Source organism: Homo sapiens, chromosome 17 (genome assembly GCF_000001405.40).
Source record: "Homo sapiens chromosome 17, GRCh38.p14 Primary Assembly".
NCBI lineage: Eukaryota > Metazoa > Chordata > Mammalia > Primates > Hominidae > Homo > Homo sapiens.
In genome coordinates, this window is record NC_000017.11 from 51,335,540 (window position 1) to 51,346,451 (window position 10,912).

The window sequence follows — 10,912 nt, forward strand, 5'->3', positions numbered from 1 at the left end:
TTCCAGAGCCACAGAAGCAGTTATAAAGTAGAAAGATTTGGGAAGAAGGTGTGATCAGCAGAAAGCAGATTTTCTTCCTCCCCTTCTGCTGGGACAGATGAAGATGTGGCGGGCACGGGGGATGGATGTAAGAGAAGCTGTGGTAGGGAGGGCTGACTAGGAAAAAATGGATGGTGGGGAAAACATACTAGTTAGCTCTTCAAAATTTATCCCAGTGCAGAGGAGTGCAGGTGAACGGACAGGAGATAAAGAGAGCAGATGAATCTCAGGGGCCAGGGACAAACCAGTAGTCAGGGCAGTGGGAGCCTGACACCAAAGGGGTGTGTCTCTGCCGGGGTCTGTGGACTTCAGGCTGGTGTTGGGTCCAGGAGGGTCTGACCCTGCAGTGGTGGACCAAGGTGGGGCTGAGGGGGTGAAGGGTGAGAGCACAGGCCTTCAAGAAGGTAAAGAGTTTGCCCATGGAGAAGAGGACATAGCGGAATCTACAAGAGGTCCTATCAGCTACCCCATGCTTGCTTCTAGGAACAAGGACACGTGGTCAGAGGCACAAGGGAGTAATTGTCAGGGATCCAAGTCACTTGCAGAGGCCTTTCTGAATGGTGGGTTCTGAGGTGGCTGTATCCAGGTGTGGCGTCTCCACCCTTGGCCTTGCATGGAGAACCCAGGAAGCGAAGCTACAAGGGCAAAGCAGAAGGATGGGGATGTAGGCAGTGACTGTGTCCCCCTAAAATTCATATTGATGTTCTAATCCCTGGTACCTTGGAATGTGAATGTATTTGGAGATAGGGCCACTAAAAATGTCATTAAGATAAAATGAGCTCATGTGGTGGGTCCTAACCAATATGACTGGTGTGTTTACAAGAGATTAGGACACAGAAAACACACAGGCAGAGAGATGATCATGTGGACACACAGCAAGCCAAAGAGAGAGGCCACCAAAGAAACCAACTCTCAGAGTTCTAGCCTCCCAATCTGTGAGAAAATAAATTCTGTTGTTTAAGCCACCCAGCCTGTGGTACTTTGTTATGGCAGACCTGGCCAACTGTGAACAATGGCCATTTGATTTCTTCTCTCAGTAGATTCCAGGCATGCTGTCATTGCTTTGCAGATGCTTACTGAGCACTTGCTGGGTCCTGCACCCAGCTGGCTGCTAGGGATAGTGAGGGGCACGAGGCACTCTCTGCCCTTGCAGAGCTCACTGGAGGAATAAACCTTTGTAGAGGAAGGTTTGATGGGCTTTCCTGGAAGAAGTACTCATAGGAAAACCCAAAAGCTCAACAGATGCTGTCTCCTTGGTTAACATTAGGAGCTATGATCTCCATCTTCCCATGGCATTAGAGGTTTAGATACTGAGGATCAGAGAGGCAAGTTCAGCATCAGAAGGCAGGAAGAGGCAGAAATCTGGACACCGATTCCTAACTCTAAAGCTGCGTCATCTCTAGTGCATCTCATCAGCTCTTCCCAATGGCACCAATCAACTTTAGCATACTGGCCAGCCGGAATAGATGTCCTTGGGCATTCTTAAGATCTGAGACTGTGATGGTTAATTTTAGGGTATCAGCTTGACTGGGTTGAGGAATGCCTCAGTGGCTGGTGGCGTCCATCATTCCTGGGTGTGTCTGTGAGAGTGTTTCCAGAGGAGACTCACATGTGAGCCAGCGGGCTGAGAAGGAGACCCGTTCTCAGTGTGAGTGTGCACTGTCCAATCAGCTCAAGGCCAGGCTGGGGACAAACAGGCAGAAGAAGGAGGATTCTCTCTCCCACCTTTCTGGAGCAGGATGCCTTTTCTCCTTGGACATCAGACTACAGGGTCTTTGGCTTTTGGATTCTAGGACTTGTACCAATGGCCTCCCGGGGCCCTCAGGCCTTCAGCCTCCAACGAAGGTCTGTGCTGTTGGCCTCCCTGATTCTGAGGCTTCTGGACTTGGACTGAGGCATGCTACGGGCTTCTCTGATTCTCCAGCTTGTGGATGGCCTATCATGGGACTTCTCCACCTCTGTAATCACAAGGGCCAATGCCCCCTAATACCTTTCTTTTCATATATCCTACTGGTTCTGTCTGCCTGGGGAACCTTGACTAATACAGATATGGAGCATTTGAAATGAGAGGATTTCTGATCCTGTTCTTCAAGAAGCAGTAGGTCAGAGCATACCTCTTTAAAATAACTTCTGGATAGTTTCACAGTTAGAAAGAATCAGCTTCAGGTGATCTTGAAGATCCCACTTGGATTCCACTCTCCAGCTCTCAGGAAGCTCTGGCTTCCTTACTTCTTCTGGGATTTTCCTTTCATGCTGGGGAGAGATGCTCCCTCACCACTACCCAGCCCATGGGACACACCGAGTCTGGTGGAGGATGCTGTGACCTGTGGTGCTTGTGATTGGTAAGCCTTGGGGCACTTGAGGGAGGGAGAGGAGAAGGTGGCTGCTTGATAAGAAAGATGAGATGCATATAATTGCCACTGATATTTGCAGCCGCTGTAAATCCCCTCAAAGAGACCCTGAATCTCTAATGGGGCACTTTCACAGGGAGATGGGATCCAGCTTGATTAATCAATTGTGGCTTCATTAGTTTCTCCCTGATATTTAATAGTAGTTAAAACCCAGCCCTCCAGGACCGGGCTTAGGCCACCCACACCAAGAGGAAAAGTGTCAGCCTGGGAGGGCTCAAGTCAACAAGGGACGGGGCTGGTTTTCCTCCTGTTAGGAGCAAATCTGTTCTCATGCTTCATTACTTAATCAGTTGCTACAAGGGAAGATTAGATACAAAGATAGAGGATTAAACAAAAAACACTGGTAGTAAGACACTTAGAAAGTAGGGGAGAGAGAGAGCTGGCATTTACAGAACACTCAGATCCCTCCTGAGCTTGAACCTTCTGGATTCTTCCTGAACATCTCTCTGCTATACATATATCACCTCATTTAGTCTTCATCAAGAGCCTCCGATTATTTTATTTATTTATTTATTTATTTGAGACAGGGTCTTGCTGTCACCTAGGCTGGAGTGCAGTGGTGTGATCTTGGCTCACTGCAACCTCTGCCTCTCAGATTCAAGTGATTTTCCTGCCTCAGCCTCCCGAGTAGCTGGGACTACAGGCGTGTGCCACCATGCCAGCTAAAATATATATATATATATATATATATATATATTTTTTTTTTTTAGCAGAGACGGGGTTTCACCATGTTGGCCAAGCTGGTCTTAAACTCCCGACCTCAGGTGATCTGCCCGTCTTGGCCTCCCAAAGTGCTGGGATTACAGGCATGAGCCACTGCATACAGCCCATTTTATTATTTTTCTTTTAATTTTTTTGAGACAGGGTCTGGTTGTGTCATCTAGGCTGGAGTGCAGTGGCACAATCTTGGCTCACTGCAGCCTCTCCCTCCTGGGCTCAGGCGATCCTCCCATCTCAGCCTCCAGAGTAGCTGGGACCATAGGCACATGCCACCACGCTTGGCGAATTTTTTGTATTTTTAGTAGAGATGGGGTTTTGCCATGTTGCCCAGGCTGGTCTCCAACTCCTGAGCTCGAGAGATCCATCTGCCTCAGCTTTCCAAAGTGCTGGGATTATAGGCATGAGCTACCACGTCTGGCCTGATTGTTCATTTTAGAGAGAAGAAATGGAGACCCAGGGAGCTTAAGGATTTTGCTTGGCTGCCCAGGTGTAAGGATTGTGGAAGTCTAAGTTTATGTTCTTCATACTCTTCCAGTGCAGCCCAAACATTCAAAATCAGGGGTCGGCATACTACAGACTGCAGGCTAAATCCACCACACTGCCTGTTTCTGTGTGATCTGTGATCTAGGAATGGTTTTTACATTTTTTTTTCCTCTTTTTGAGACGGTCTTGCTCTGTCACTCAGGCTGGAGTGCAGTGGCACAACCTCTGCTCACTGCAGCCTTCACTTCCTGGACTCAAGTGATCCTCCAACCTCAGGCCCCGAAGTAGCTGGGACTACAAGTACACACCACCATGCTCAGCTACATTTTTTTTTTTTTTGTAGAGACAAGGTTATTTTTAAATTGAATGGCAAACTATCCATTGAGTATAACTTTTTTTTTTTTTTAAATACAGCGTCTTACTGTGTCGCCCAGACTGAAGTGCAGTGGTACAGTCTCAGCTCACTGCAACCTCGGCTTCCCAGGCTCAAGCAATCCTCCTGCCTCAGTATCCCAAGTAGCTGGGAAAACAGGTGAGCACCACCATGCCCAGCTGATTTTTGTATTTTCTGGAGAGACAGGGTTTCACCATGTTGCCCAGGCTGGTCTTGAACTCCTGGGTTCAAGTTATCTGCCTGCCTCAGCCTCCCAAAGTGCTGGGATTACAGGCGTGACCCACCACACCCAGCCTACATTTCTTTATTTTAAATATGTAATTTATTCCACATTCTAGATATTATTTCCTTACTCTGGCTTTTGTTTATAAGCTGAATCCCTGAAACAAATGGAGAAACTATTCCGTGGATAACAGCACTTCTTTAATTTGAAAGATATAATTTTGCCTATATTCTCAATATTATTTCCTTTCTTTGGTATTAAATATAAGTTGAATACTCGGTACGGAGTAAGGGGCCTACCACGTAATAGGTGGTCAATATATGTCTTGAATAAATATTGAATAAATATAAAAGCAACATTTAACCTACTAAATCATAGTTTAGAAATTTCCTTTATTCTGATCTATAACAATCATTCAATGCAGTCCTACTGCATTAAACTTTTTAAAATGTTTACTTCTACAGTTGATATACAGTGTTATAATAAATTCTGACAGCATAAATTAAATCAATAGAAAAACTATTGTCCAGGCTGGTCTTGAACTCCTAGGCTCAAGTGGTCCTCCAGCCTTGGCCTTCTTGGCTGCAGTGAGCCGAGATTGCACCACTGCACTCTAGCCTGGGCAGCAAAGCCAGACCCTCTCTCAAAAAAATAAAAATAAAATAAAATAAAATGAATAATCAGAAGCCCTTGGTGAAGATTAAATGAGGGCACAGGCATGAGCCACCGCACCTGACCTTTTAACATTTTTTAATGGTTAAAAAAATCAAAAGAATAATAATATTTCATGACACATGAAAACTGATATTCAAATTTTGGTGTCCATTAATAAGTTTTATTGGAACACAGATCTGCTCATTTACTTATGGATTACCTCTGGCTGCTTTTGCCCCACCATGACAGAGTTGAATAGTTTTCACAGAGACATTGTGGACAGCAATGCTTAAAAATATGTAGTAACTGGGCTTTTACAGAAAAAGCTCACTAACCCCATTCAAACTGATTCCCAGTCATCCTAAATGACAGGAAAAGATGGATTGAGTTCAGACATGGATGCACACTTTATTGATAACCAACTTTGTTAGACATAATTAAACACTCAAAATTTCAGAAACATCAAACACTGTTCCATTACCAGCCAGGAATGGTCCCATGAGGGTTTTAGGATTTATAAGCATCATTAAATGTTGCAGTAGAGACTTCTCAGCCACTTCAATGATTTGCCTTGAAGGTACTTAATATTTTCAAGTAAATGCCAGGGTTGGAGTTTTGAGTGTAACTGGAAGAGTTTGCTAATTTCTTTGTCCCTGGATTATCATATGCATGTGATTACTGCAAAAAAAAAAAAAAGTTTATACTTTCCCCAAAGTTGCTCAGCTCAGGGTTTGTGGCTGCCTAATTTATGAATGGTGGTGGTATACATCATGTTTGTCCCTTTCAGGTAAAAGGGAAGCAAAGGAAGAAAGAAGAAAAGAAGACAACCCATGTAGGATGTTAACCAGGTCACTGGTTTTATTGTCACATGCTTTTAAAAGAACATGCATGAGTGAGCTGTCTCACTTTCCAATCCAAGAATGTTTGATTCCACTGTGATGAAAAATTCTGTGACCTGGCAGGAAAACACTACAAGAAGGGCAGAAGCGGAAAATTCTTTCTATTTTCCAATATGGCTTTCTTTGATTCAAGAAAGGCCTCCTCTCCTCCACATCTCTGTCCTGCTCATGACCCCAGAAGATCTCAGGTTGACTGCATTTGTTCTATGCCTTCCTCAAGCTTCACCTCTTCTGTGAGCCTCCTGGGTGGGCTCCTTCTGGCTAAATCTTCCTCCTCACTGTTGCCTTTTTATCTTATGCAAGCACCTGCCTTATCTAAAGGTACATACCTTTTCATAGAACACTTGCCTGTTTACCTAGCTATTTCCCCATGACTATGGGCTTTTTGAGAGGTGCTGTGTTATTTATTTATTTATTTATTTATCATTTTGTTTTGAGACGGAATCTTGCTCTTGTTGCTCAGGTTGGAGTGCAATGGCGCGATCTTGGCTCACTGCAACCTCCGCCTCCCGGGTTCAAGCGATTCTCCTGCCTCAGCCTCCTGAGTAGCTGGGATTACAGGCACCCACCACCATGCCCAGCTACTTTTTTTGTATTTTTAGTAGAGAAAGGGTTTCACTATGTTGGCCAGGCTGGTCTCGAACTCCTGACCTCAGGTGATCCACCCACCTTGGCCTCCCAAAGTGTTGGGATCACAGGCGTGAGCCACCTTGCCTGGCCACTGTGTTATTTTTTTTTACTTCTATACCTTCAGCACCCCAAACAGTGCCCAATACAAAGTTCCACACTAAATATTTATTGATGGAATAATGAATAGGGTTGGGGGCACTGGCAGGGAGGGTGCCCACTGGGCTGAAATTCTGGGGCCTGAATGCATCACTCCCTTCGCCTCTGGATGAGAAAAAAGAGGGACAGTACCCATGAGGCCCCTAGGGAAGCCTTCTGCAGACCAAAAGACCTCTTTGAACAGAGGGCAGAGGAAACAGGTCTAGAGAAAGTGAATGTGAAGATTCAGGCTTTAGAATGAGCCTTGCAGACCTGCTGGCAGTGACAAGAATTACCTGTGTACAGCACCTTGTGGTTCCCATGACCCCATTTAGATCTCATCATGACCCTGTTGGGTGGATGTTATTTTCTGCTTTACAGGGGAGAGAGGCCAAACTCGTGATCTGATCTGTCTGATATCACTTACTTAAACAGTTAAGTGGTGACTCAAGCTTGGTCTTTTTTTTACAACCCGGTGAGCTTTCCTTCAGGAGGAAATCTACCTCTCTTTGTGATGGTGACTTCACAGAAAAATTCTAACCCCTTTTATTCCTGCTTTCTGGTAATCTTCAAGCATCTAGGTAATTATCACGTTCTTATGCATTAACTGTTCTCCCTCAAAACGAACGAAAACCCTAAACCGAGGCATTGGTGCCCTCTGTCCTAGGGCTTTTAATTGCTGTCTTCCTAGTGTTTTAGTGCTAAAAGCCTGCCCTTCAGGGTGGTGGAAGGAACCTGATGGGGGACAGGGTTTTGACCTTAGAGCATGCAGGATTTAAAGCAGGAGGGCCAAATTCAGTCATCAGATGCAGGCACCAGGTGCACGACTGAGATGGGGGCTGTGGGAAATGTATGTGAAGCTGCTGAAAATTAGGACAGAATGGACACCAAGAGCCAGGTCACAGCCCAGCCGAAGAGTCTGTGACAATGGCTGCAAGAGGGACTGTGGGTCAGGGTGGACACCTGGGTTTTTGGGAGGGAAGGTTCAAGTTCACTTCTACACCAGTGCAGGAGCCATGCCTGTTTTTTTTTGTTTTTTGTTTTTTGTTTTTTTTGCCACTGAGTTTGGAATGAGGCCTGGCATCTTCTGGGATGGAGAGGATGCGGAATTCACTGTGACCAGGGTTTAAAGCACCACCAGGGGAACTATGACAGCCTTCACGTGGAATCATTTCATGGCTTGGATGGGTTTGTATGAGAGATTATCAAACCCGGGCCTTTGTAAGGCATGGACACAGGGGAAGGGTCCAAGACCAGTGCTCCCTTTGTGTGGCTCATGGCATTGGGCACTGTGCTGGGCACTCCGTGGGTGATAAATTCAATGAATGGCACCCGCAGCCATCCCATTAGGCAGCCTCAAAACCAAGAGTCAATCTTGATGCCTGCCTCCTCCTTTCACCCTCCAGTCACTGAATCTGTCAGTGATACTGCTGTGATAGCTCTGAACTCTGCCCATTATTCTTCAACTTGTAGCTACCACCCTAGTCCAAGCCAGCATCACTTTTCTCCTGGAGTTCTGTAACATTCTCCCATCTGTTCTCCTCACATGCCCTGGAGCCTGCACTGTCTCCACTGCCAACCTGCAGCCAGGGATCTTTTATTATTGATTGATTGATTTTAGATTCAGGGAGGTACCTATGCTTGTTTATTACACGTGCAAATTGCATACTGGTGGGGATTGGGCTTCTAGTGTACCTATTGCCCAAATAGTGAACACTGTACCCTGTAGGAAAATTACCCCCCTGACTCTCCCCACTATAAAAATGCAAATCTGATCATATCTGGAACTCCCCTTCTACCCCATTCCTTTTTTTTTTTTTTGAGATGGGGTCTCACTCTATCTCCCAGGCTGGAGTGAAGTGGTGTGATCATAGCTTACTGCAGCTTTGACCTACTGGGCTCAATCCATCCTTCTGCCTCAGTCTCCCGAGTAGCTGGGATTACAGGCATGCACCACCATGCCTAGCTCTATTGTGCCTCAGGCCACACCTCAAATTTTCTTCTCTTTTCTTTCTTTCTTTTTTTTTTTTTTTTTTTGACAGAGTCTCACTGTGTCACCCAGTCTGGAGTGCAGTGGCGTGATCTTGGCTCACTGCAACATCTGCCTCCGGGGTTCAAGAGATTCTCCTGTTTCAGCCTCCCTAGTAGCTGGGATTACAAGTGCCCACCACCACACCGGCTAATTTTTGTATTTTTAGTAAAGATGGAGGTTTCACCATGTTGGCCAGGCTGGTCTTGAACTCCTGGCCTCAGTTGATCTGCTCACCTTGGCCACTCAAAGTGCTGGGATTACAGGCATGAGCCACTGCACCCTCAACCAGGTCAGGTCTTTCTGTTGTTTGCTCTCAAAGTATCATGTACTGTTCCTTCCAGGCCCTTATCATGTTTTTTAGGGATACTGTTTTTTTTTTTTTTTTTTGCACGTGACATATTAATTCATTTCCCCTCCACTAGACACTAAATTCTATGAGAAGGACAGTGCTTACTTTTGCTCATCCATGACCGTGTTTCCCAAGCAACCGATACTTGGTAGGCGTTGAATGAATAAATAAATAAGTACATTTCAGTGAATGAAGGAAGGAATGCATAAATGGATGCATGATGAGAGTAACGATGCATGGCAGCCTGCTGTGCAGGGATCAGAGGGAACACAGGACGAGACAGGGCACTAGGCTGCGACCTCTTGCTTCCTGGAAGAGCATGGAGACTCATTTTTGAAACATTTCCTTAAAACATGTTTTATTGGCCAGGCACATTGGCTCACACCTGTAATCCCAGTACTTTGGGAGGCCGAGGCGGGTGGATGACTTGAGGTCAGGAGTTCGAGATCAGCATGGCCAACAGGGCGAAACCCCATCTCTACTAAAAATACAAAAATTAGCTGGGTGTGGTGGTGCATGCCTGTAACCCCAGCTACTCGGGAGGTTGAACCCCAGCTACTCGGGAGGTTGAGGCAGGAGAATCGCTTGAACCTGGGAGACGGAGGTTGCAGTAAGCCCAGATCGCGCCACTGCACTCCGGCCTGGGCAACAGGGTGAGACTCTGTCTCAAAACAAACAAACAAACAAACAAGCAAACCCATGTTTTATTATTCTAAGAGGCTTCCCTAAATGGATGTAGCTATAGCAAACTAAAACTGGAATTACATAATGTAATCTGACCCCCTAAAAAGCAAATTTGTTCTTATCTAGGCAAAAATAAACAAACTAGAGGTTATAATGTAACATGAGTGAATCTTTTAGAACGAAGAGGAAGGGAGAGTGGAATAGGAAAGGTGAATACATAGGATGGGCCTGTAGAGTCTCATGTGACTTCTTTTGGCTACTTGGTGCTTGAATGATTTTAGCTCTGGGCCAAAGGCATTTGCCTCAGCGTGCTGCTCTCTCCGGAAACCAACTCTCCTCCACTTGTGCACCTGCAGGGTGAGGTGCGTCAGGACTGTTGGGTTGACCCCACTTTACAGATGGGACCACTGTAATTGCATGAACACAGTAACTGGGCCAGAGGCAACAAATATGCTTTCTCCTTCGCCCAAGCCCCTCCTTCATCCAGTGCACACACACTGCTCCATAAGTGAAAATGATTCCTACTGTCACCAGAATCCACCCTTACTCACCGTAGCAGGCTGAGACAAACACTGATCCCCCAAACCCACTCTATGCTGGTGCCCAAACAGCCAGTCTAGCTCCCAGTCTGTCTCTTTTACCTCCCTGGGTCAGTGCTCCTGAAGTGGGTTGGGGAGGGGTGGGGCAGTGGAGGTGGAGGCCTGGGGAAGAGGGCAGAGTTGTGTCAATGAGTACTGATGGTGTGATGGAAAGCTCCCAGGCTTTGGAGTCAGGTATTTCTAGGTTCAGATCATGGCTGATCTTGTAGCAATTTATTAAATCTTTCTGAGCCTTTGCATTCTCATCTGTGAAATGAGCATGGTAGGATCTACCTTGCAGGATCACTGTAAGGACTGAATGTGGAAGGCAGCCAGCACAGACACTATGCATGCAGTTGGGACCCCTTAGGGTTTGCTCATTTTTCTCTTTATGTCTTTCCCTTTGGAAGTAACATGGTGCAGAAGATGGATGTGCATTTTGCAGCCAGGCTGACCTGGGTGAGATCCTGGCTTGACCATGGACTAGCTGTGTGGTGTTATACAAGTGGCTTAACCTCTCAGAGCCTTTCTTTCTTCATCTATAAACTGGGGATAGCAGATGGGGGAGGGTCTGCCTTGCAAGTTGAGCATTACACAAGAAAATGTGTGCTTAGTGCCTGGTGCAGAGTCTGGGAGTGAATTCATTACATGTAAATTTCCTTTTTGTGTTCTTTTGTGGAT

The 10,912-nt window shown here is 45.9% G+C and overlaps 1 long non-coding RNA gene across 1 annotated transcript; it reads left to right on the top strand.

The window, feature by feature from the left end:
- Positions 1 to 1,175: 1,175 nt before the first annotated feature.
- LINC02072 (long intergenic non-protein coding RNA 2072) lies at positions 1,176 to 7,032 on the top strand. The gene is made up of 3 exons (NR_122104.1): positions 1,176 to 2,381; positions 4,068 to 4,185; positions 5,712 to 7,032. It is a non-coding gene; the product is annotated as a long intergenic non-protein coding RNA 2072 (long non-coding RNA).
- Positions 7,033 to 10,912: the final 3,880 nt, after the last annotated feature.